The following is a 26,561-nucleotide window of genomic DNA, read 5'->3' on the forward strand; positions in this document are numbered from 1 at the left end:
TTGAGTATTTGCTACCTTAAAAGATATTGCAATGTTGTGGCAAGTGAGGAAGCTGAGGCTTGGAGATGGTAGATGGTCTGCCAAGGACACACAAATCGTCAACTGTACAGTGAGAATTTTTTATTTTTTTATTTTTTTAGACAGAGTCTCCCTCTGTTACCCAGCCTGGAGTGCAGTGATGCGATCTCAGCTCACTGCAACTTCTACCTCCTGGGTTCAACAATTCTCCTGCCTCAGCCTCCCGAGTAGCTGGGATTACAGGCATGCACCACCATGCCCGGCTAATTTTTGTATTTTTAGTAGAGACGGTGTTTTACCATGTTGGCCAGGCTGGTTTTGAACTCCTGACCTCAAGTGATCTGCCCACCAGGACCTCCCAAAGTGCTTGGATTACAGGCATGAGCCACCACGCCCGGCCGTACAGTGAGAATTTGAACCCAGTTCTGTATGACTCCTGAATCCTCTTAATTTCCACACTACATCAGTATTCAACAGTCAGGACTGCCTACACAGGCTGCTTGATGGAGCTTCCCTGGCCTCCACAAAGAGAACCTCTCTCCATTAAGATTTGCTTTACATTAAGACTGGGACTTGCAGCACCTTGTCTGAGTCCCCTCCCTGACCAGCTTCCTTCTAGTAGCAGTTGTGAACTCAGTACTGCTTTCCTCTTACTCCAAAAAGTGCTGCTCTTTTCTTAAAAAAAAAAAAAAAAAAAAGTTTCTTCTGGTTATTTTTCACTGTAGAAGATTAAGAAAATCCTGAAAAGCACAGGAAGAAAATAAAATAATCCATAATTACGAAATTGAGATAATCTTTTAAAACAGCTTGATATATTTCCTTCGTGTACAAGGTGTTTTTCAGAGGCCTGTGGATCCCAGCCCCTCCACCAGCTCCTGACTCATGAGCTTCTCCCGGAAGCTTCTCCCTTTACTCTCATGGGCAAAGACTTCCTCCCTCAATCCCTCAAAGTGACCCCACAAGGACATAAGGCTATACCCTGCCACCTTCTCTTTTTTTTTTTTTTTTTTTTTTTTTGAGATGGAGTCTCGCTCTGTCACCCAGGCTGGAGTGCAATGGCACGATCTCGGCTCACTGCAACCTCCGCCTCCCGGGTTCAAGCGATTCTCCTGCCTCAGCCTCCTGAGTAGCTGAGATTACAGGCACATGCCACCATGCCGAGCTAATTTTTGTGTTTTTAGTAGAGACGGTGTTTCACCATCTTGGCCGGGCTGGTCTCGAACTCGTGACCTCATGATCCACCCACCTCGGCCTCCCAAAGTGCTGGGATTACAGGTGTGAGCCACCATGCCCGGCTTATCCTGCCACCTTCTAGCCTCAACTGAAAGTCAGAATTCTGGAGCCAAATTTTGGAGACATGTGGAGAACTGATACACAACAATTGTTACACTCTTTCCTCACTAAACTTTTTAAATTTTTTTTTTCATTTTTTATTTTTGGAGACCGTGTCTTGCTGTCACTCAGGTTGGAGTGCAGTGGCACGATCACAGCTCACTGCAGTCTTGACCTTCCAGGCTTAGGTGATCCTCCCACCTCAGCCTGCCGAGTAGCTGGGACTACAGGTGTGCACCAGCACGCCCAGTTAGTTTTTGTATTTTTAGTAGAGACGGGGTTTCACCATGTTGGCCAGGCTGGTCTCAAACTCCTGACCTCAGGTGATCCACCCAGATGATCCACCCGCCTCAGCCTCCCAAAGTGCTGGGATTACAGGCATGAGCCACTGTGCCCAGCTGATTACTCTTGTCTCCTGCTAAATCACAGACGTTTGGGGAGTTCCTTCAGGACCCCAATAAACTTGTCTGTGGAGGCCTGGGGAGTCTCTTCAGACCCCCAATAAAATTTGTTTAATCCTAAATGGATCCTGTTAAGAATTCCTCCATTATTTTGTCACGCTTTAAGGCCCAGGAAAGGCCTAGGCAAAACTCTTGGTGGGCTTTTGTTACATTCCAGTCTTTGTATAAGGGCACTGGCCCTTTCAGCTTTTAATATTTAACTTAACTACTCAGTCAGTACTTTCACAGTTGTTATGGAAGCCTGAGGATCTTGCCACTGCGCTCTAGCCTGGGTGACAGAATGAGACCCAGTCTAAAAAAAAGAAAAAAGAAAGAAAAGAATGTCCTGTATTCACACAACCACCACAGAACTGGACCTTCTTGAACAGTGCAGCATGGCTCATTCCTTCATTCTTTGATATCCCAACCCCTGCTCAGCATCTGCAGCATGGGGCACAGAGCAGGCACACCCTCCAATGCTGCTCTGTTCACTAGACGGCAGCTTTCTCCTCAGCCCTCAGTGTTCGGCTTGTGCACAGAAAACGTGAATCTAGATAATAAGAGCAAAGAACATCTCCACGGGACATAAGTAAACCACCACACCCCACCCACCTCTATCAACCTTATCTGCTTACTTGGAGCTCTGATCTCTAACAGGCAATTAATCCTCCCTTGTGGAACTCAAAAGTCACCTACCCATTCCCCAGGGAGCTGGGTGATAAGAAAGCGCAAAGTTTAGGATTACTCTTTGATAAGAGTCTTGCTTAAACAAGATCACATACAAAAGCCTGTCTGATCCCCACACCCTTCTCCCCTGGCTCCCCTCTCTCCTTTCTTCCTCTCTTGCTTGTAAGATTGCAAGATTGTGCAAGCCAACCCACAGACTTGGGCTCTGAAAGGCCTAATGCAAATTGCTTTTAGACACACACATTTCTTTCCCAGCCCTCTGTATTAGTCCACTCCCCACCCAGCAGGCCTCACCCTTACCCCCTACCTGGGAGTTGACGCTTGGGGCTCCCCTGGGAGCTGATTGCCCTGGTCTGCTCCTGGCCACTTCCCATTGGTGCTTGCTCATTTACATTTTAAAATTAGAGCAGAGTTCAACACTGTGGTTGGCTTTAGTGGCTCTATGAATTGTCCTACCCTGGTGAGAAAAATGCAGACAATATAGCCACCTGGGAAAACTTTGCTCCTAAAATAGCGCAGCCCCCACAGCATTCTGGCAACAGGTTGCTCTGTGGTGAGTCTCTGGCTCTGGGCTGATAGAAACACCCGGGGATGTAAATAGCAATGAGAAAAGGCCACTTGTACCACGATGACGTTTCGTGTTGGCGGGTTCTACCCCCACCCCAACCCCACCTAAGTTCTCTATTTTTGTTTTGCTTAAACTTCAGCTCACAGCATAAACACCCAGGGTTGAGGCTCCATTCTGCCCTAGAGCTGTGAGTGCAGGGTGAGGGGTTGTGGTGTCCTGTTCCTCCTACCATGTCCCAGCCCCTCTGTTTCAGTCTCAGCACTGTCCTCCCAGACCCTCCCTTCTGAAGGTCAGTTCCCTCTGCTGCAAAGTGGGAATAACAGCATTCGTTGGGAGGGTTGAATGAGTTGACAAAACCCATGCCTGGCACAGTGCCCGCCTGTGGCAGGCTGCAGTGTCTCAGGCCATGATTAAGACAGGGTTGTGGCAGTGATGCAGGTGCACACAGTGGTGAAGAAGCAGACGGTGGGGACCCTCTTGGCAGTCCCCGACCACACAGATGCATGGCAGGACCAGGAGGTGGGGGGCCTCAGGCTGAAACGGCCATCTCCCCAACTCCTCCTTGTTTGTCGGATTCCAGGCCAGCGCCTGGCAGCCCTTCGGCACAGAACTTCTTGTACATTCCACAGCAAGTGAAAGGGCTTTTGTCCCCACACAGGAAGAACAAATGACAAAGGCAATTGTGTGTCTCCCCACGGGCCCACACAGCAAGCTTGGGAAGAGAAAATTCTTTCCCCAAGAGTCCAGCTTTGCTGGAGCGGTTGCAGTCACAGATCAGTCAAACTGTGGCACAGCTCTGGAAGAGTGTGGCATCTGAGCTCCCACATGTGTGGCAGGGTGCTCATCGCACGCCCAGCACACACACATGTGCACAAACTCCAACACATTGCTCCTGCCCAGACTAGCTGGGCAGTGCGTCACAGATGCTCTAGCTGCAGGGGCTCAGGAGGGCATCACACCCACCCCCTTCAGGAGGTTATGGCTTTATTATTCCCTGATATGGTTTGGCTGTGTCCCTACCCAAATCTCATCTTGAATTGTAGCTTCCATAATTCCCACGTGTTGTGGGAGGGACCCGGTGGGAGATAATTGAATCATGGGGGCAGTTTCCCCCATATTGCTCTCATGGTAGTGAATAAGTCTCATGAGATCTGATGGTTTTATAAGGGGAAACCGTTTTCGCTTGGCTCTCATTCCCTCTTGCCTGCTGCCATGTAAGACGTGCCTTTGCTCCTCGCCTTCCTCCATGATTGTGAGGCCTCCAGCCATGTGGAACTATGAGTCTATTAAACTTCTTTTTTTTATAAATTACCCAGTATGGGCATGTCTTTATTAGCAGCATGAGAACAGACTAATACATTCCCCTTCCCAGGTGGGCCACAAAGGCCCAGAGGGTCCTACAACTCGCCATGGGTCTCACCGTGCTTGTCCTTTTCAGGCCTCATGGCCCACACTGTGAAGAATGTTAGGCACTATCAGAGAAAGATCTGTTTTCAAGAAGTCTATCCTGAAGGCCCTTCAAACACATAGTCATTGAGGGCCTATGAGAGGGTGGAGACTCCAGACTACCCACAGGAGATAAATTATACTGAAGAAATCATTCTCACTGGGACAGGATAGATCTCTCCTTTTACCATTTTTTTTCCATCCTTATTTTTCGTATTCTCTTGTAATTATCATAATAGGAAGCTGAGGGTTTGGAAGATTTTAAAATTTGTTAAAGGAAAAAACTTTTCTTATCAAATGAAATTATTATGCATCACTTTATTGGACCCCATGAATGGAATGGAATAACCCAACCCATTTCTGCTGCAGACTTGGCTGCCAGAGCCCTTGGTTGCTGAGTTTAGTGATCAGTCACAGTAACCAGTTCGTCCCAGGTACATCTGGTGCTCCTAATAGATGTCTGGCCTGGCATCTGCTTTTATGTTTTGTGTCTTGTTGTATCTTGAACTTAAATTTCATAAGTGATCTTTGTGCTGTGCAAAAAACTTTCATTGGCCTAACAGAGTTGGGAAATCTAGATGTTATTCCCAGTTCTGCCTGACTGACCAGTTCCACCTTGAGCAAGACATTCCCTCTATCTGGGCCTCTATTTCCTCATTTTGAAACCTATCTGTGTCTCCCAGACTTTCCTGTAACAGAATAACCTTGAGTGTTTGTTAAATATACAAAGTCACAGGCCCCTTCCCTAAATCAGGGGTGGGGACAGGGAGCTGGAATCTGTATCTTTAAACCTAGCATCCTGGTGGATTCTAATCATCTGGCAAGTTCAAAACATGAACACCAGATGGTTACCAAAGTACCATTCTATGCTATGATCTATAATTTATACAAATAATCTCTTAGAAGAAAGGAGATGAAGTTTGGTACAGATTTTGAAATCACGTGTCTTGTTCTTTACTGAATGTAGTTTATCATGATCCTCAGTTTTCATTTATAAACACACACAAGGGGGAACATTTTGTATATTCCTTTGCAAGGTGAAAAACCCAACCCAGGTGCTTGTTCCTCCTGTGGCTTTCCACTGGATTTTTACCAGGGTTGGGCCCCCGACTCCTACCCGTGGAGGCTGTGCTTCCTAGGAAGCTCGATGCATGTTTCCCCAGACACCTGCATGACTCATTCCATCACCGCCCTCTCTTGGGTGTTGACTCAAACGTCAGCTTATCAGTGAGGACTTCCATGGGGCTAATATCACAGCTCCCTCTCCAACATTTCCTATCCTCCTCCCTACTTTGTTTTTCTACTTAGCGCTCATCACTATTTAACCCACTGGAAATTTTACTTGTTTATTTTGTTTGCCATCTGTCTCCCCAACTAGAGATAAACTCCTCAGGGACTTCTCTCTGTTGTGTTCCCTGCTATAGCCCTCAATGCCTGAACTGAGACATAGTAGGTGCTCAATAAATATCTGCAGACTCAATGAATGAAATGCTTGCTGGATAAAGGAATGAATGAATGAACTTCCTGGATTGGTGTAGGTATTTGACTGTCTGTACAGTCAGAGGGACAGCCCCTCTAATCCCAGGCCATGCTCCAGCCTTCTCACAACTGTGCTCCTGGCCTCTGGGCTCATGCACACACTGGTCACATCTGAACCCCATGACTGAGCTGCCCCTTAGGTAACTGCATATCCTCTGTCCTCAGTCTCTCTCTGTGGGAAAGCTGGGGGTTACATGGAGCTCCACCCCTGCTCACAGCACATCCCTTGATGAATGCTGACTGTATCCTTTCACCCCAGCTGCTCCCCACCCTTCTTACTCTCCCACTGGGACCACTGAGAGCTTGGTTGCCTTTGCTCCAGTAGGGGGCTGTCCAACACTCAGCCACACTCCTGAGCCTTTCTCTAAAAACAAAATTTTCTGGCTGGGCACAGTGGCTCACACCTGTAGTCCCAACACTTTGGGGGGCTGAGGCGGGTGGATCACTTAAGCCCACGAGTTCAAGACCAGCCTGGGCAACATGACAAAACCCAGTCTCTACAAAAAATACAAAAAGTAATGAGGTATGGTGGTACACAGCCACTCAGGTGGCTGAGGTTGGGGGATCACTTGAGCCTGGAAGGTGGAGACTGTAGTGGCCAAGATTGTACCACTGCACTCCAGCCTGGGCAACAGAGTGAGACCTATCTCAAACAAACAAACAAACAAACACAAACAATTTCAGTCTGGCAAGAAAGCAAGTCCCCATCTTTACAAAAAAAAAATTAAAAGTTGGCTGGGCACGGTGGCTCATGCCTGTAATCCCAGCACTTTGGGAGGCTGAGGCGGGGGGATCACCTGAGGTCAAGAGTTTGAGACCAGCCTGGCCAACATGGTGAAACCCCATCTTGACTAAAAATACAAAAATTAGCCGGTTGTGGTGGCAGGCGCCTGTAATCCCAGCTACTCAGGGGATCGAGGCAGGAGAAACGCTTGAACCTGGGAGGCAGAGGTTGCAGTGAGCCGAGATGGCGCCACTGCACTCCAGCCTGGGGGACAAGAGCGAGACTTCGTCTCAAAAAAAAAAAAAAAATTAAAAATCAAGAATCAGCTGAGTGTGGTGGCACATGAAGTTCCTGCTACACGGGAGTCAGGCAGGAGGATTGCTTGAGCCCAAGAGATCAAGGCTGCAGTGAGTTGTGGATTGCACCATTGCCCTCCATCCCAGGTGACAGAGCAAGACCCTGTCTCGAAAATAAATAGCCGAGAGCGGTGGCTCAAGCCTGTAATCCCAGCACTTTAGGAGGCCAAGGCGGGCGGATCACGAGGTCAGGAGATCGAGACCATCCTGGCTAGAACAGTGAAACCCCATCTCTACTAAAAATACAAAAAAATTAGCCAGGCGTGGTGGCGGGTGCCTGTAGTCCCAGCTACTCAGGAGGCTGAGGCAGGAGAATGGCGTGAACTCAGGAGGCAGAGGTTGCAGTGAGCCAAGATCATGCCACTGCACTCCAGCCTGGGCCACAGAGCAAGACTCCGTCTGTAAAAAATATATAAATAAATAAAAAATAAATAAATCTTTATTATTAAAAAGACAGCTACTGGCACCTAGAGGGATGAAACAGAGTCCCAGAGCTATGAAGGAGGTGGGATTAAGCAGGGTCCGTTAACTTGAGTCTCTTGAGCTGGGGCCTAGAGAAACTGGTTCAAGTACTTGTGGCTCTTTGACCATAACTGGCCTAGGTCTTAATATGAGTGAGCATTTGAACTAGGAAAAAATGGGCACAAATACCCACTGCAGAAAGTTTATAACAAACAGGTAAACAAAAAGAAGAAAAACAACTACAGCCAACACACAGAATGCTTACTAGTGCCAGCTGTTCTAAGGGCATTTACATTGACCAACTTGTTTAATCACATCACAATCTGTAGAAGCAAAAAATTGCCCTGCTTCCAAAGTTAGCAAACATTTAGTATGCCATTGTCAGGAAAACAAAAACAAAATATTTTGCAACCCAAGATAAACCAAAACTAGCAGGTTCAACTCCAACTAGTTGTTGTACCCAGAATAATAAAACCTTGATTATTGTCAGTGAACTTTAGACTCCTTAACAAATACAATTCCTGGCCAACCATGGTGGCTCACGCCTGTAATCCCGGCACTTTGGGAGGCCAAGGTGAACAGGTTGCCTAAGCTCAGGAGTTTGAGATCAGCCTGGGCAACACAGTGAAACCTCGTCTGTACAAAAAATTTAAAAAATAATAATAAAATAGCCGGGCAGCTACTTGAGGGGCTGAGGTGGGAGGATCACTTGAGCCCGGAAGGTTGAGGCCGCAGTGAGCCGAGATTACACCACTGTACTCCAGCCTGGGTGACAGAGCGAGACCCTGCTCTGAAAAAACAAACAACAACAACAAAAATTCCTGTCCCTAGTTTTTGTTATGCTGGTGTCTAAAGATGTCGTGGCCTTAGTAAATGTAGTAATCATGTGAGAAAGTCATTGTTTTTCATAATGGGCAGACAAATGTAAACTATATTAGTTTCCCAGTTGCCATAACAAGTTAGCACAAACTTGGTGGCTTGAAACAACAGAAATTTACTCTCTCATAGTTCTGGAGACAAGAAGTCCAGAATCAAGGTGTTGGCTGGGCCATGCCCTTCTGAAGTGTCTAGGGGAGGCTCCTTCCTTGCCTCTGCTGGCTTCTGGTGGGTGACTCCAGGCATTTCTTGTCTGTGGCCTCATCACTTCCATCTCAGCCTCTGTCTTCATGCGGCCTTCTCCTCTGTCGCCCTTGTCTTCTCCTGTTCTGCCTCTTATCAGAACTCTTGTCATTGGATTTAGAGCCCATGTCAATAATCCGGGAGGATCTCATTTCAAGATCCTTAAATTAATTACATCTGCAAAGACCCTTTTTCTAAATAAGGTCACAGCTTCCAGGGCTTAAATCATGGGCGTATCTTTTCGGGGGCCACCATTCAACCGATTATATTAGCTCTGGTGGTCTTGAGGGTTTGTTTGTTTTACTGAAATGCTACAGTTATGTTTTTATATTTGGAGGGTCAGTCCTGAAGTTTAACTCTTGCACTCTTCGCAAGTCATTTGTTGCCTTCCTTTTCTGAAGATTTTGCCTCAGAGTTTTTCTTTGACAAACCTATGGTGATGTGGGTTGGTGCCATTATTATCCCTGATTTATTTATTTATTTATTTAGAGATGGAGTTTCGTTCTTGTTGCCCAGACTGGAGTGCAGTGGCGCGATCTCGGCTCGTTGCAACCTCTGCCTCCCTGGTTCAACAGGTTCTCCTGCCTCAGCCTCCCAAGTAGCTGGGATTACAGGCATGCACCACCACGCCCAGCTAATTTTGTATTTTTAAAGTAGAGATGGAGTTTCACCATGTTGGTCAGGCTGATCTCGAACTCCTGACCTCAAGTGATCCACACACCTCGGCCTCCCGAAGTGCTGGGATTACAGGCGTGAGCCACTGCGCCTGGCCTAACTTTTTTTTTTGAGACAGTTTTGTTCTGTCGCCCAGACTGGAGTGCAGTGCCACGATCTCAGCTCACTGCAGCCTCCACCTCCCGGGTTCAAGTGATTCTCCTGCCTCAGCCTTCCAAGTAGCTGGGACTACCAGCGTGCACCACCACCCCCAGCTAATTTTTGTATTTTTAGCAGAGATGGGGTTTCGCCATGTTGGCCAGGTTGGTCTCCTGACCTCAGGTGATCCACCCACCTCAGCCTCCCAAAGTGCTGGGATTACAGACGTGAGCCACTGCACCCAGCCCCACTTAACCTTTTAAATGCCCAATGGCCCTGGCTCCACCCTTCCTGTGCTCCCTCCCTTCCTGTGCTCCCTCCCTTCCTCCCTCCACCATCTCATTTTCATCCCGTTCCCATGCTACCCCTTAAAGTTAGGCCAAAGAGTTGTTAGAAAAACTATAGACTTCACCATCAGACAATCTGAATTTAATTCCTCACTAACTCTGTGAACTTGGGCCAATTATAAAATCCCTTTGAGCTTCAGTTTCCTCATCTATGAAATGGGGATAAAGATATTTAGCTGATATAATCATACTTGGTTGATAGGGTTGCTGTGCTAATTATTTAAATTAAAGGTACTTAATAAATGCAAGTTCTACATTTTTCCTCGGAAAGAGTCTGCCCTTATTTAAGTCTCAGCATAAATGTTATTTTATTATTACTATTACTTTTTATTTTGAAATAGAGTCTTGCTCTGTTGCCCAGGCTGGAGTGCAGTGGTGCGATCTCAGATCACTGCAACTTCCACCTCCTGGGCTCAGTGATTCTCCTGCCTCAGCCTCCCAAGTAGCTGGGATTACAGGCATGGGCCACCACATCTAGCTAATTTTTGTATTTTTAGTAGAGATGGGGTTTTGCCATGTTAGCCAGGCTGGTCTCCAAAACTGACCTCAAGTCATCCGCCTGCCTTGGCCTCCCAAAGTGCTGGAATTATAGGCGTGAGCCACTGCACCAGGCCTCTGTTATAAATTTTAATCATAGCTTCTTTTTCCCTGTCTGGGTATTAATAATAATAATAATTATTATTATTATTATTATTATTATTATTATTTTGAGACGGTGTTTTGCTCTTGTTGCCCAGGCTGGAGTGCAATGCTTCGATCTTGGCTCGCCAAAACCTCAGCCTCCCTGGTGCAAGTGATTCTCCTGCCTCAGCCTCCCAAGTAGCTGGGATTACAGGCATGCACCACTACGCCTGGCTAATTTTGTATTTTTTAGTAGAGACGGGGTTTCTCCACGTTGGTCAGGCTGGTTTCGAACTCCCGACCACGGTGATCCACCCGCCTCGGCCTCCCAAAGTGCTGGGATTACAGATGTGAGCCACCGCACACAGCCTACATTTTATTATTAAAAATCATCTTTTTTTGCTGGGCACCGTGGCTCATGCCTATAATCCCAGCACTTTAGGAGGCCAAGGCAGGTGGATCACTTGAGGTCAGGAGTTTGAGACCAGCCTGGGCCAACATGCCCATCTCTACTAAAAATACAAAAATTAGCCGGGCGTGGTGACACACACCTGTAATCCCAGCTACTTGTGAGGTTGAGGCAGGAGAATGGCTTGAACCTGGGAGGCGGAGTTTGCAGTGAGCTGAGATCAGGCCACGGCACTCCAGCTTGGGCGACAGAGAGAGATTCCATCTCAAAAGATAAAATTATCTTTTCTTCGTTTTTACTACAAAAGCAAGGCATGTTAATTTGCTGAAAACCCAAAGAAGCAAAAAGAAAACATAAAAAACACCATAACCCTACCATCAGCATATTTACAATAAACAACGACTTGTTGAGTAGTATAAGCCAGAAAATGTGATCAGCCTATTATGTTATTTTTAAATTTAATCCTCACAACCTATAGATACTATTTAAATCACCATCCAGCATGTGATTAAACAAGGCCGGGCGCAGTGGCTCACACCTGTAATCCCAGCACTTTGGGAGGCGGGTCACTTGAGGCCAGGAGTTGGAGACCAGCCTGGCCAACATGATGAAACCCCATCTCTACTAAAAATACAAAATTTAGCTGGACACGGTGGCACATGCCTGTAATCCCAGCTACTTGGGAGGCTGAGGCAGGAGAATCACTTGAACCCGGGAAGTGCCAGTTGCAGTGAGCCAAGATGGCGCCACTGCACTCCAGCCTGGATGGCAGAGTGAGACTGTCTCAAAAATAAAAATAAATTAAAAATTTAAAAATTTTTAAAAAACATATGATTAAACAAAATTTCAGAGAGGTTAGGTATCCTGCCCAAGTTCACACAGCCAGTGAGGAGCCCAGCTGGGATTTGCACCCAGGTCTGTCAACTTGAACTGTAAAGATTTATTCCCTATTTAGAGGCTTGTTTTTTGTTTCTTGTTTTTTGTTTGAGACGGAGTCTCACTCTGACGACCAGGCTGGAGTGCAATGGCACAATCTCGGCTCACTGCAACTTCTGCCTCCTGGGTTCAAGTGATTCTCCTGCCTCAGACTCCCGAGTAGCTGGGATTACAGGTGCGTGCCACCATGGCCAACTAATTTTTGTATTTTTAGTAGAGATGGGGTTTCACCATGTTGGCCAGGCTTGTCTTGAACTCCTGGTCTCAAGTGATCCGCCTGCCTCAGCCTCCCAGAGTGCTGGGATTACAGGCATGAGCCACTGCGCCTAGCTATTTAGAGGTTTTCAGGAAGCTGAGAGGGTATTTGGGAGCCAAGAGCTGTTTCTGGGGCCCAGAAGTATCCATCTTTCAGCAGTCTCAGCTCAGGAGTTCCCTGCCTGGCTGGCTATCCCTGGCCATCCCCGGCTGCACCCACCTGCCCGCCAGCCTTTCTCAGTTGCATCATCCTTACTGGCTGCAACTGCAATATATTCGCCTGTAGCCCTGTGGGGGCTACTACAGAACACAAACAGAGCCCTGGCTGGTGAGACTGCTGACACAAGAGCCAGAGGCTTTGCTCCTTTTTTTTTTTTTTTTTTTTTTTGAGACAGAGTCTCCCTCTGTTGCCCAGGCTGGAGTACAGTGGTGCAATCTCAGCTCACTGCAACCTCTGCCTCCGGGTTCAGGTGATTCTCATGCCTCAGCCTCCTGAGTAGCTGGGATTACAGTCATGCGCCACCACACCCAGCTAATTTTTGTATTTTTAGTAGAGATGGAGTTTACCCATGCTGGTCAGTCTGATCTGGAACTCCTGATCTCAAACGATCCGCCCGCCTCAGCCTCCCAAAGTGCTGGGATTACAGGCATTAGCCACCACGCCCAGCCCCATCACTACTTTGTAAACTGACGGGCAAGTCCCTTGAGAATCCCCATCTCTCACAGAAGTAATAGCAATTAGTTTTTCCTGTGGTTCTGAAGGAAGTAAAGTATTATATACAAGACCACCCAGATAGTTTAAATGCCATATAACATGGAATATAATGTTACTGAGATAACTAAAGGCAAAAATAACCTGTATATAACATGCTTACAATGTTCAAAGGGTAGCTGATGACTTTAGATTTGAGAACACACGCAGGCAGACCCATCAATACCCAAGGAATACCTTAGTCACAGAATAGGAATAGGCAAATGCATATTGATCAGAAAATGTACCTGACATGCAAACCCAGAACAGGTGAGTTTGATGTGGCAATGGACGGAGGAAAGCTGGAACCCTGAGGTTAAGACTGAGATTGGGCTGGAGTCCGGAGAGTCTGGGCTGAGGGTAGAATTCCCACTTATTATGGGATCCAGTGGGACCCTTCATAGAAGAGGCTGAGTTTCATAATCCTGGTCTATCTGATTTGGAGAGTTCCTGGAATCTGGGGAGACACCCCACAGGCTTTGTCTGAGGACTATTTGCAGTTCTTTGAACCTCAGAATAGGAAGACTGAAGTGAGAACTCAGAGCAGAGAGTAAGCCAAGGCTACTTTGAATGCTCAAAACCAGGGAATGGGTCCTACTGCTTTCCAAGTGTAAGCATGGCCAGCCCAACCAGCCCAGAGCCCTCAAAGTCAAGCCCCTCACTGGTCAGCCTCATGGCATTCTTGATCTAATGCCCTGTGGCTTTAAACTGCCAGCTTTTGCAAAAGGAAGAAGAAAGTCCTGTATTTCTTCTGGACTCCTACAGGCTCTTTGAAACAATGCTGTTTCTGTTTGAGATGATGATACCCTGAAAGCACCTGTGCACTCCTGCAACTTGTCATGTGCCCATTGAATAACAAATTGACCAACTGACATTCTTAGAGACGCCACTGAAGACCTAGTGCTGGGTTGGACCTATGGGGAGACCCAGAGGTTCATAACTCTGTCTCTGCCCTCAAGGAGTTTAGCATCCAGGGATTTAGGTGGTATTTGGGTCACTTTGGACCTCACCATGGGCACAGGAAAAAAATCCAGGAAATGTCTTCCTCAGTGTCAGCCTGAGCAAAATAATGCCCCAGCTGACATTTCTGTGTCTAGAAATGTTTACACAGGGATTGCACTGTGCAGAGCACTATACCACATGGATTTGCCTTTGTAGGTTGTACTATACTTGCACATTTCCAAGGGCTGAGGAAGGGAAGGTGAGAAACGTGGTGATGAGCCCCACTGTGGCCAGCACTGTGCCAAGCGATCTTTAAAGGTGGTGGTTTTAGCCTTACAACCACCTGGGTGGCCAGTATCTTCATTCTCACTCTGCAGTGGAGAGATTACAGCTTTAGATACTGAATGCTGTGGCTCAGGGGGCTGGGGCTGACAGTGCACCCTCGTAAGCCAGTGGGGAAGAAGTCTGGCGGCAAGGTAGCTGGCAGCTTAGGAAGCACCTGGGCTGCTTGCTAAGGAGTGGGACTTTCTTCCAGAAGCTACAGGGGGCCCAGTACAGTAGTGAGAGAGCCATCTGATCAAATCTGTTGGAAAGCTGCCTGGCAGCTGTGTGAGGGCTGGGTGGGGAAGGGGGAGGAAAGATTGCAGAATGAGATCAGAGAGAGGACTATGGAAGGACAAATCTGTTTTCCCTCCTCCCCCTATCCCATGCATACCGAATAACAGTCTCTAGAATCAAAACAAGCATTTTATTTTATTTTGTTTTTCAAGACAGTGTCTCAATCTGTCACCCAGGCTGGAGTGCAGTGGCATAATCTCGGCTCACTGCAACCTCTGCCTCCTGGGTTCAAGTGATTCTCCTGCCTCAACCTCCCGAGCAGCTGGGACTAGAGGTGAGTGTCACCACACCTGTCTAATTTTTGTATTTTTAGTATAGATTAGGTTTCACCATGTTGGCTGGCTGGTTTCGAGCTCCTGACCTCAAATGATCCTCTTGCCTCAGCCTCTCAAAGTGCTGGGATTATAGGCATGAGCCACTGCGCCTGGCCAAAGCAAGCATTTTAATAACCCATTTTAAAATTTTAGACCCAAGTCAGTGACCCCTGTATTAATTTCGGTAATCAAAAGTTGGCTAAATTGAGCCAGCTGAGTGAGACAAGGTTGTGCACTCAGCACTACCCTGGCAGGTGGCTGCTAGGAAGACATGCTAGAAAAGATTGGCCATCGTGACAAAGGGAGAGCAGGTGAAGGCACTGACGGGGTTTGGGATTTAGGCAGACCTGAGGTTGATTTCTGGCTTAGCCATTTACTAGTCATGAAACATTGAAAACATCATTTAATCTCTCCGATTTTCTTTACTTCATCTTTAAAATAAGGGTCAGCTGGGTGTGCTGGCTCACACCTGTAATCCCAGTACTTTGGGAGGCTGAGGCAGGAGAATCACTTGAGCCCTGGAGTTCGAGACCAGCCTAGGCAACACAGTGAGACCCCCCCCCCCCCGCCAATCTTTACAAAAAAAATACAAAAATTAGCCAAGTGTAGTGGTGTGCACCTGTAGTCCCAGTTATTTGGGAGGCTAAGGCGGGAGGATTACTTGAGCCCCGGAGGTCAAGGCTGCAGTGAGCCCTGATCACTATATTCCAGCCTGGACAACAGTGAGACCCTGTCTCAAAAACTACACTACACTACACTACACACTACACTACACTACACTACACACTACACTACACTACACTACACTACACTACACTACACTACACCACACTACACCACACTACACTACGGGTCATCAACTTTCTCTTGCATGATTGCACGAGTACTATATTCAAAGTGACTAGCACACCAGTGGTGCTTGGTAGGGACTAGCTAAAATATCCTCATTCCGACCTGGGAGCCACAGTGATGGCGCACATCTGCCTGGCCCCTTCCTGTGGAGCAACACTGCCCTTCAGTGGCTAAACAGTGAATGACAGGTGTGCCGGCTGCTCCCACCCAGCCCTGCATTCCACACGTCAGAAGAGTTGTTTAAGGGTCAGACCTGCCGCATGTACTTTTCACAAAGTTGGAGCCCTACCTTGGCCAGCAGGTGACAGGTCCCACTGTCCCCAGGACAGGGCGAACTCAAGGCCAGTGGATTCTGAATCTTGGGCTGGGAAGAAAACACAAGCTCAAGTAGTCTTGGAACAGCTCTCTAGAGATGGCCATGACCTCCAACCCACTCCACCCTAGCCACAAGAATAGTGTAAATGAAAAGCAAATGCCAGTGGCACATTCTGGCACCCCTTGGCAAAACAAGGAAGGAAGCCATTCCACAAACACTTAGCGGGCACCGTCCAGGCCTCTGGGTCCGTGCTAGGCTGCAGATACCATGGCCAACAAAAAGGAAGCTGACTATTTAGTTGGGAGAAGGACATTAATGAAACAATCACCCAGATACGTAATTGCAGACTATAACAAGGATCTGAAGGGAAGGCTCAGGGTGCTGACTCCATCCAGGACAAGATAAGGAGTGCTCCTTGGTGCTACTGTGGGCTTCATGAGCACCTCCTGGTGAAGCCACTGCCCCTGGGGCCTGTGCACACTGTGGACATTGAAATGCTCACTGCTTCTGGAAGTGGGCTGATGTGGCTCTGGGCTGTCTACGCCTCCAGCTGGTAGATAGGAGTCAGGGAAGTCACCAAAAGATGAATAGGCATTAGTAAGTACTGGTGGAAACCCAGGAGCGGGAATGCCATGCTCAAAGGCTCTGAGGTGGGCCCGGCACAGTGGCTCACACCTGTAATCCCAGCACTTTGGGAAGCCGAGGCAGGAGGATGGCTTGAGCCCAGGAGTTCGAGACCAGCCTGGGCAACATGGCAAAACCCTGTCTCTACAAAAAAAAAAAAAAAATAGCTGGGTATAGCAGTGTGCACCTGTAGTCTCAGCCACTCAGGAGGCTGAGATGGAGGATTGCCTGAGCCCAGGACGTAGAGGCTGCAGTGAACTGTGATTGTGCCACTACACTCCAGCCTAGACAACAGAGCAAGACCCTGCCAAAAAAAAAAAACAACAAACAAACAAAAAAACAAAAAGGCCCCGAGGTGGGGTCCCATGGGGATATCTTTAAGGAAATGTGTCTGGAGCTCAGAAACCCAGAACAAGAGTAGTGCAGGTGACACTAGGGCAGTAGGCAGGGCAAGGCCTTAGGCACTGGGGGGCAATATCAGGGGTGTGGTCTTGATCCTAAGACAGTGGGACACCACAGACAATGCTCCTGCCTCCCTGCCAGCTGTCCTCCTTCAGGGATAAGGCCCCTTTTGCTGCCTCCCTCCTCCCCTCACTGCCCAGGGTGCCTCCATCAAGTCTTCTCTGGATTTCATCCTTTTCTCCCAACTCCCAGTAACATCCTCTCAAATTAAGTCTGGGATTTTTTTTCTTCCTCCCTTCTTACCACAGTAAAATTCTGTTAGATAAAAACTAGCATTTAAAACCATACTCCAGGGCAGGTTCAGTGGCTCACACCTGTAATCCCAGCATTTTGGGAGGCTGAGGTGGGCGGATCACCTGAGGTCAGGAGTTCGAGACCAGCCTGGCCAGTATGGTGAAACCTCGTCTCTACTAAAAATAATGAAAAATAGCTGAGCATGGTGGCACATGCCTGTAATCCCAGCTGCTCAGGAGGCTGAGGCAGGAGAATCGCTTGAATCCGGGAGGTGGAGGTTGCAGTGAGCTGAGATCACACCACTGAACTTCAGCCTGGGGGACAGCGCAAGACTTCGTCTCAAAAACAAACCAAAAAAAGCATACTCCAGTCAGGCCCAGTGGCTCTCGCCTGTAATCCCAGCACTTTGGGAGGACGAAGTGAGAGGAGAGCTTGAGCCCAGGAGTTTGAGACCAGCCTGGACTACATGGCAAGACCCTGTCTCTAAAAAAAAATTTCTTAATTAAAAATAAATAAATAGAAACCACACTCACACTTCTAAGCTGCAAGGACTTGTTGCCAGCCCCGTATGCTCATCCCTGTGTGGGCTGAGCCCGGGAATGAAAGAGGAAATGTACTCCGACCTTGCCCCTGAGGGGCTTCCCATCTCGCCCTGAATCCAGGGGCTACCTTTCAGCCAGCTGCACTACTCCATTCAATGGAAATGGCACTTGGAAATGCTTCTTCTCTTTCTGAACATTTAGGTCCTCACACAGCAACCAAGCCAGTGGTCAGTGAGTGCATTTTGTGAACGCTTTGAGGTATAGAAGGAAAGAGCACTGGACCCCTGCAGTCTGAAAACATGGGTTTGTAACCTGGCCCTGCCATTTTTCAGGCTGTGTGTCCTTAAACAAGACTTCTCTGAGCCTCGATTTCTTCGTTAGTAGAGTGGGGTAAACAAGACTTTCCCTGTCTACCTTGCAGAGGGTTTATGGGGATCGTATGAAGTACCACAGTGGTTCCTGGATGGCAGTCCTTAAACAGGTGCTACACATGAGGACGTTTTCACCAGCCCACGGTGAGATGAGGAAAATCAGGACAACGAAAGGAGGTGTTTACAAAGGTAGATTTATTCAACCTAAAGGCCTGGACTGTACTCTGAGATTGTGTCTTTCTTGGGGTTTATTTGCATTGAAATTACATTTACTTTATGAAATGATAGTGATGTTAGCAGATTTTTAAAAATGTTTTTACTTAACAAAATTAAAGTACAACTACCCAGTTTGGGAGATCTTACCAGTCTGTAAAGCCCCAAACCCTTTTGAGTCAGTGAACCAGAAAGCCTTGGCAAACCACAAAGAGCTACGACCAGAGGCCACCTCTTGCTGTCTTCCTTTGCTGCCCCTCTGCTAGCTAAAGCCTGTGTGGTAGGGGTGGGTTCCAAGGGTCAAGGCCCAGACATGCTTTTCATCTTGACTTTAAAAGCACAGATTCTGGAACCAGACTGTTAGGGTTTAAATATCAGTTACACTCCTTTCTAGTTGCGTATGACCTTGGACAAGTTGCTTCTGCTCTCCATACTTTGATGCTCTCATTTATAACATGTGTGTATTAATAGTGAAGATTAAATGTAAGGCAAGGGCTGGGAACGGTGGCTCCTGCCTGTAATCCTAGCACTTTGGGAGGCTGAGGCAGAGGGATCTCTTGAGTCCAGGAGTTTGAGGCCAGCCTGGGCAATATGGTGAAACCCCACCTCTACAAAAAATATGAAAATTAACCAGGCATGGTGTCGTGCACCTGTAGTCCCAGCTACTTGGGAGGCTGAGGTGGGAGGATGGCTTGAGCCCGGGAAGTCAAGGCTGCAGTGAGCAGAGATCACATCACTGCACCCCAGGCTGGGTGACAGACCTTGTCTCAACAAACAAATAAATAAATGTAAATATGTAACTGCCCAGTGGGTTCACCTTGCCTGCTGCCTAGACAGAGCTAATTTATCAAGACAGGGGAATTGCAGTGGAGAAAGAGTAATTCACACACAGCTGGCTGTGCGGGAGAGGGAGACTGGAGTTTTATTATTACTCAAATCAGTCTCCCGGAGCATTCGGAGAGCAGAGTTTTTAAAGATAATTTGGCGGGTAGGGGCTCGGGAAGTGGGGAGTGCTGATGGATCAGGTTGGAGATGGAATCATATGGGGTCAAAGTGAGTTTTTCTTACTGTCTTCTGTTCCTGGGTGGGATGGCAGAACAGGTTGAGCCAGATAACCAGTCCGGGTGATGTCAGCTGATCCATCAAGTGCAGGGTCTACAAAATATCTCAAGCACTGATCTTAGGTTTTACAATAGTGATGTTATCCCCAGGAGCAATTTGAGGAGGTTCAGACTCTTGGAGCCAGAGGCTGCATTACCACTAACCCGTAATTTCTAATCTTGTAGCTAATGTGTTAGCCCTGCAAAGGCAGACTGGTCCCCAGGCAAGAAGGGGGCCTTGGAAAAGGGCTGTTATCAATTTTGTTTCGGAGTCAAACCATGAACAGAATTCCTTCCCAAAGTTAGTTCGGCCTATGCCCAGGAATGTACAAGGACAGCTTAAAGGTTAGAAGCAAGATGGAGTTGGTTAGGTCTGATCTCTTTCACTGTCATAATTTCTTCAGTTATAATTTTTGCAAAAACAGTGTGTGGCACATATGGGCACTCAAGAATGCCAGCAGTGATTATTGGCCTGGCGCATTGGCTCACGCCTGTAATCCCCCAGCACTTTGGAGAGCCGAGGCGGGTGGATCACGAGGACAGGAGTTTGAGACCAATTTGGCCAACGTAATGAAATCCTGTCTCTACGAAAACCACAAAAAATTGGCCGGTGTGGTGGTTCATGCCTGTAATCCCAGCATTTTGGGAGGCCAAGGCGAGGGGATCACTTGAGGTCAGGAATTCGAGAGCAGCCTGGCCAACATGGCAAAACCCCGTTTCTACTAAAAATACAAAAATTAGCTGGGCATGGTGGCACATGCCTGTAGTCCCAGCTACTCGGGAGGCTGAGGCAGGAGAATGGATCACTTGAACCCAGGAGGCTGAGGTTGCAGTGAGCTGAGATCACACCATACACTCTAGCCTGGGCAACAAAGCGAGACTGTCTCAAAAAGGAAAAAAAAAAAATCTGCCATTGACTTGCAAATGAGGAATTGCTTCCAGGTTCTCAGCGACCATTTGCTACAGATATGCCAGGTAGTAAACTGGGAAGCCAAGAACCTGAGAGAAGCACCTGCTTGTCAGAGGGCAGGTTTTTGTTTGTTTGTTTGAAGAGAAACTTTTCCTAGTTTACTATTCCTTTTCAGAACACAGCCTCACAATACCTTCCACGTGTGTCAGATCTGTGTGCTCTTGGCTATTTGCTAAGAGGACATTACAGCATTGGTCCCTCTTGTGATTACAGGGGTACAGGGAGCTGAAATGTGGATCCCCTGAAAACTTTCATTACAATAAGAGAGAACTCAGGTGTGGTGGCTCACGCTTGTAATCCCTGCAATTCTGGAGGCTGAGGCAGGCAGATCACTTGAGTCCAGGAGTCTGAGACCAGACTGAGCAACAAGGTGAAACCCCATCTCTACAAAAAACACAAAAATTAGCTGGACGTGTTGGCACATGCCTGTAGTCCCAGCTACTTGGGAGGCTGAGGCAGGAGGATTGCTTGAGCCCAGAAGGTCGAGGCTGCAGTGAGCCATGATTGTACTACTGCACTCCAGCGTGGGCAACAGAGTGAGACCCTGTCTCAAAAAAAAAAAAAAAAAAAAGCTCACAGCTGGTTCCCTGAACTGGGGAGAATCCCATTCAGGTTAAGAAGACAAGATACATAGTCCTGGACTTCTAGAACAAACTGAAAATGCCAACTAGTTCCCAACTCCACACTCCTGGGAGTCGGCGACAGGTGCCCCCTACTAAAGGCAACATACTTTTGCTTTGGGCTATAGCTTTGGGGTCTCTGCTTAATTGGAAGCTGGAAGTTTGTAAGCAAAGGAGTTTCCATATTTCTTTATACTTTGAACAATATAATGGACATCTTAAATTTTTTTTGTTAGACTCTCTATTATTTTAGTCCCCAAGTGCCTTAAAAAGTATCCAGAGAGTCTTGCCTTTCAGAGTTGCCTTAATCCAGGTCTGGCTCCCCTTATCTGGGGTTCCCTCGGTTCTGCCCTCTGCTTTATGTTGTCCACATCCTCACTCTGGTGGCCAGATGGCTCAGTCAGGCCAACAAGGTCTCCAGGAAGAACAGGAAACAAGTCTACACCAACATTACTGGTGAGAGTCCCAAGAATCTCCCCGATTGGACAGCTCAGGTACCAGGTGCCCCTCTGAAGACTGTGACTGTGCTCAGGAGAATGGACTGTGCCAACCAGGGACCACCCCAGGAGCTGAGGGTAGGGTCCCCTTCCCCTGCAGATGTGGACATAGAAGATGGATAGGCTACCAACAATATCCATGGCACAATAGTTCCTGGCCTGCTCACACCTGTAATCCCAGCACTTTGGGAGGCCAAGGCGGGTGGATCACGTGAGGTTAGGAGTTTGAGACTAGCCTGGCCAACATGGCAAAACCCTGCCTCTACTAAAACTACAAAAATTAGCCGGGTGTGATGGCGGGCGCCTGTAATCCCAGCTCCTGAGGATGCTGAGGTATGAGAATCACTTGAACCCAGGAGGCAGAGGTTGCAGTGAGCCAAGATCGTGCCACTGCACTCCAGCCTGGGCGACAAGAGCAAGACTCTGTCTCAAAAAAAAAAAAAAAAAAAAAGATTTGGAATATTCAATAGGATGGTCAGAGAAGGGTGCATTGATGAGGTGACATTTGAGCAAAGGCCTGAAAGAGAAGAGTAATCAAGCCCCTGCAGATTGCAGGGAGAAGGGCTTTCTAAGCAGAGGGAGAGCAAGTGCAAAGACCCTGGAGTGGGGGCCGGTCCAGGGTGATGAAGGAACAGCCAGGAGGGTTGAGTAGCCACAGAAGAGTCAAAGTATTTGGTGTTCAGGGCTGTGCTTGGCACTCAGAGCAACTAGAGAGAAGGGACAGTGCCATCCTTGGTCTCAAAGAGGCAATGAGCCTCTAAAGTGCACACAGCAAATGCTAAAAAAAATAGCACATCTAGAAAAAGATGGAGCCTTCCTCATGCTGTATGAGTGCAGGAAGGAAAGCTCAGGGACTGGAGCAGCCAGAGAGGGCTTCAAGGAGAAGATGGACATCACCTGGAGAGGCATAGGACAGGCAGGGAGAAAGTGTGGACACAGCGGGTGCCTTTGAGGCGTTCTGTTTAAATATCAGCCTCATTCACTGTGCACTGAGCAACTGGGAATTATTACAGCTTGAGATTTTTAAAGACAAATCAGCTAAGGTCCATAACATGCTGGTACTTCCTCTCAGGAAGAGAAATTCTCAATCAAGACTTGTGTCTTCTTCTCATTAAAAAGCTCTTATTGTGGCTGGGTGAGGTGGCTCACGCCTGTGATCCTATCACTTTGGGAGGCCGAGGCAGGTAGATCACTTGAGATCAGGAGTTCAAGACCAGCCTGGCCAATATGGTGAAACCCCATCTACTAAAAATATAAAAATTAGCCGGGCGTGCTGGCCCATGCCTGTAACCCCAACTACTCAGGATGCTGAGGCAGAAGAATCGCTTGAACCCAGGAGGCGGAGGCTGCAGTGAGCTGAGATCGTGCGATTGCACTCCAGCCTGGGTGACAAAGCAAGACTCTGACTCCAAAAAAGAAAAAAAAAAGTCCTATTGTACAGTAAGAACCTCTTCTATTTTCTCTTTTTGTTTTTTCTGGGCGACAATGTCTTGCTCTGTCACCCAGGCTAGAGTGCAGTGGCACAATCATTGCTCACTGTAGCCTGTGGGCTCCAGTGATCCTCCTATCTCAGTCTCCTGAGTAGCTGGGACTATGGACACACACCACCACGTTGAGCTAATTTTTAAATTTTTTGTAGAGATGTGGTCTCACTAGGTTGCCTAGGCTGTTCTTGAACTCCTGGGCTCAAGCAATCCTCCCACCTTGAACTCCCAGAGTGCTGGGATTACAGGTGTGAGCCACCATGCCAGGCTGGAACCTCTTCAAGATATCAACATTGAAGCAGCATGTGGGAAGCTGTAGTGGGCAGAAAAAGGCTTAGCTGTAGCGGGCAGAGAAGATTGGATGGCCCAAGACCAGTCTCTACAGAGAGACTTTAGATTCCTCCCACCCATACCCAGAGCCCCCAAGGGCTCTCAATTGCCACAGATTTTTCCAGCTTAGCCTTTGCCTCCTTTTTCTAAGGCAAATATCCCTATGAGGATCATATTTTGAGCCCATCACACATTCATGCATGCCATGCCATTTTTCTTAGTTTGTTGTTTCATTCATTCATTCATGTATTCATCAATACCTTCCACAGATACCTATTGATCTGTTTTTACAGGCCCATGTCACTATTCTCAGGTTGTCAGTGGCTATCTGTGTGACCCCCACCTCCCAATCCCATACCTTCTAGAGCAGCAGTCCCAACCTTTTAGGCAACAGGGACCAGTTTCATGAAAGACCATTTTTCCACAGACTAGGGCGGCAGGGGATAGTTTAGGGATGATTCAAGTACATTACATTTATTGTGCACTTTATTTCTATTATTATTACTTTGTAATATATAATGAAATAATTATACAACTCACCATAAGGCAAAATCAGTGAGAGCCTTGAACTTGTTTTCTTGCAACTAGGCGATCCCATCTCGGAGTGATGGGAGACAGTGACAGATCATCAAGCATTAGATTCTCACAAGGAGAGTGCAACCTAGATCTCTGCCATGCGCAGTTCACTAGAGGGTTCACGCTCCTATGACAATCAAGGTCGCCACTGATCTGACAGGAGGCCAAGCTCAGGCAATAATGCTAGTGATGGGGAGTGGCTGTAAATACAGATGAAGCTTGATTTGCTTGCCTGCCACTCACCTCCTGCTGTGCGGCCTGGCTCCTAATAGGCCAGTACTGGTCTGTGGCCCAAGGGTTGGGGACCCCTGCCCTAGAAGAGTTCTTCATCTGTACTCATGAAAAGTTGATAAGTCACCTAAATCACCTTTAATAAGAGCCCAGTAAGTTGAGATGTCACAAAAACAGAGCCAGAAAAAGAATCTATACCATCTGCTACAGCCAGGACCAGCTACCTAATTTACAAGTCTCAGCACAAAATGAAAATGTGGGGCCTCAGCCAGATGTGGTGGCTCATGCCTGTTATCCCAGCACTTTAGGAGACCAAGGTGGGAAGATTGCTCGGGCCCAAGAGGTTGAGGCTGCAGTGAGCCGTGATTGCGCCACTGTACTCCAGCCTGGGCAATAAAGCAAGACCCTGAAAAAAAAAAAGAAGAAAAGAAAAGATGGGTAGGGAAAAAAGTGCCATTAGAGGCACTAAACTACAAACTTTTCCTTTCTTCTGTGGTCTCTGTCTTGCCCTCTCTTGGTGTTTCTTATTTACTGTTTGATGCTATGCTTCCTTGGGCACAGGGATACTTACAGGGTGAGTGCAGACCCTCACAGGCACAGGGAGGGTGAGGAGTAGGAGGTGGGCTGCCCGTGACTGCATATCCATGCACAGTTCACCAGCTCCAGGAGTCTTCCTCTGGCTAGACCACCAGACTGACATGCCATATCTGCCCAGGGGCAAGGATGAGGTGAGGCCGTCAATCTTCCCTTCCCACAGGCCTGCTGCCCCAACCCATGGCTGCTGGGAGACCTCCAGGGGATTAAATCTCCATTCCAAAGCAGTCTCAGCACCTGGCTAGGGGATGGCTGAGAGGCCAGTCCTGCTGCTGCTCATCAAAGGCACCATGGCGCTGCCAGCCCAGGGCAAGGATGGCTGCCACCCTGCCTCTCCCCAAAATGCCATAGGGCACACCAGCTCAACCCCAATTCTCCCTGTGCCCACAGCTAGGCCCTTACAGCAGGCAGAGGTCAGCAAGGAAGGGGAAGTCAGGTGGGGCCTGGGGAACCAGGAAGCGGGGAACAGGCAGCTGAGAATTGTTCCAGGGAAGCAGGGAGAGGCAGACCACGCATGGGCCAAGACTCCAAGCCCTCAGTGCATGCTGCATTGTCCCATTGGACTTCACTTGCAAAGTGTAAATGCAACGAAAAAATTATTAAGAATTTCAAGACAAGGTGGGTGCAGTGGCACTTACCTGTAGTCCCAGCTACTCAGGAGGCTGAGGCGGGGGAATCACTTGAGCCCAGGAATTTGAGTCCAGCCTGGGAAGCATAGCGAGACCTCCCACCTCAAAAAAACAGAAAAGAATTCTAAGACAGTGTCATAGAACATTAGCCCCCCAGTGCAGGACCCTTTTGAACAGAGCTCTTCTGAGCACGAGGCCCTGTCTATGCCTGATGCACACCCACGAAACCGACCTTGGCTCCAGCTTTCAATGCGAACTTCTTACAGTTTAGGTCCTCTGCGAAGTCACTTGCTTCCAGTAGCTCCTATCAGAGCTGAGCTGAGGCCTTAGACTGGGGTTAAAAGAGAGGTGAAGTTTCCCGCTGCAGCACTAAACACATCACTGAAGGCCTACGGAGTAATCCTTGAGCATCCCCTGACTCAGAGCACTGCCACCGCATCAGCTTCTTCCAGATGCCAAGAAGCACCTCTGGGTCTTGGGGTTCCGGCTTGTTTGTGTCACAAGTAATAACTTGTATTTTATTTGCTTTTAAAAACTGGATATGCTCCCACTTCTCAGCCTCTACAATGAGACCTGTGTTTCGTGTTTTTCAGTGTGCCTTTGAGAAAGGCCCATAAACCTATAAACACCCTTTTTCTCCCCAAGGTGAGGTTTGACCCTAGTACTTACTACCACTGTTTACTGGAGAGTCATGTTGAGAACATCTCCTTTAGGCTCTATTTCTCATCCTAAGGGATATATCCAGCCTTCATTATGGAAGGTTTTGAAGGCCTCAAATAAAATCAAAGTAGAATTTGAATAAAACATCTTGGCTGGGCACGGTGGCTCGCATCTGTAATCCCAGCACTTTGGGAGGCTGAGGTGGGCGGGTCACAAGGTCAGGAGATCAAGAACATCCTGGCTAACACGGTGAAACCCCCATCTCTGCTAAAAATACAAAAATCAGCTGGGCGTGGTGGCGCGTGCCTGTAGTCCCAGCTACTCGGGAGGCTGAGGCAGGAGAATCGCTTGAACCAGGGAGTCGGAGGTTGCAGTGAACCGAGATCACACCACTGCACTCCAGCCTGGCGACAGAGAGACTCTGTCTCAAATAAATAAATAAAACATCTTAAAGAAATAGAAAATACTAGTAGAGTATTCACTCTGATTTCAGAATCAATTTGTGGAAATTCAGTTTCACAAGAATGAAAAAAGCCCCCTAAGCAAGGTAGCTTTTTTT

General features: G+C 47.8%; 1 long non-coding RNA gene across 2 annotated transcripts in view, besides 5 other annotated features; it reads right to left on the reverse strand.

The window, feature by feature from the left end:
- The window catches only part of EPCAM-DT (EPCAM divergent transcript), a 152,670-nt gene that overhangs the window by 115,178 nt on the left and 10,931 nt on the right, over window positions 1–26,561 (reverse strand). Inside the window, exons 2-3 of one of the 2 annotated variants that reach the window (NR_110208.1) lie at window positions 25,352–25,444; window positions 24,691–24,826 (exon numbers count right to left, since the gene is read on the reverse strand). The exons of the other annotated variant lie outside the window; for it this stretch is intronic. This is a non-coding gene — a long non-coding RNA (EPCAM divergent transcript). The remainder of the gene's footprint in view (window positions 1–24,690; window positions 24,827–25,351; window positions 25,445–26,561) is intronic. 2 annotated transcript variants of the gene reach the window in all.
- Window positions 2,020–2,209: an enhancer, noted in NCBI's record as "active region_15728". NCBI's record gives its function as "activates an Ori minimal core promoter by ATAC-STARR-seq in GM12878 lymphoblastoid cells {active_cell/tissue: GM12878}" and the evidence as "EXISTENCE:reporter gene assay evidence [ECO:0000049][PMID:35858748]".
- Window positions 3,470–3,539: an enhancer, noted in NCBI's record as "active region_15729". NCBI's record gives its function as "activates an Ori minimal core promoter by ATAC-STARR-seq in GM12878 lymphoblastoid cells {active_cell/tissue: GM12878}" and the evidence as "EXISTENCE:reporter gene assay evidence [ECO:0000049][PMID:35858748]".
- Window positions 15,588–15,882: a silencer, noted in NCBI's record as "tiled regions #1090 and #15339; K562 Repressive DNase unmatched - State 8:EnhW". NCBI's record gives its function as "represses a minimal TATA promoter and a strong SV40 promoter by Sharpr-MPRA in K562 cells {active_cell/tissue: K562}" and the evidence as "EXISTENCE:reporter gene assay evidence [ECO:0000049][PMID:27701403]".
- Window positions 15,588–15,882: an enhancer, noted in NCBI's record as "tiled regions #1090 and #15339; HepG2 Activating DNase unmatched - State 25:Art". NCBI's record gives its function as "activates a minimal TATA promoter and a strong SV40 promoter by Sharpr-MPRA in HepG2 cells {active_cell/tissue: HepG2}" and the evidence as "EXISTENCE:reporter gene assay evidence [ECO:0000049][PMID:27701403]".
- Window positions 15,864–16,023: an enhancer, noted in NCBI's record as "active region_15730". NCBI's record gives its function as "activates an Ori minimal core promoter by ATAC-STARR-seq in GM12878 lymphoblastoid cells {active_cell/tissue: GM12878}" and the evidence as "EXISTENCE:reporter gene assay evidence [ECO:0000049][PMID:35858748]".

The sequence above is a fragment of the Homo sapiens genome, chromosome 2 (genome assembly GCF_000001405.40).
Source record: "Homo sapiens chromosome 2, GRCh38.p14 Primary Assembly".
Classification (NCBI taxonomy): domain Eukaryota; kingdom Metazoa; phylum Chordata; class Mammalia; order Primates; family Hominidae; genus Homo; species Homo sapiens.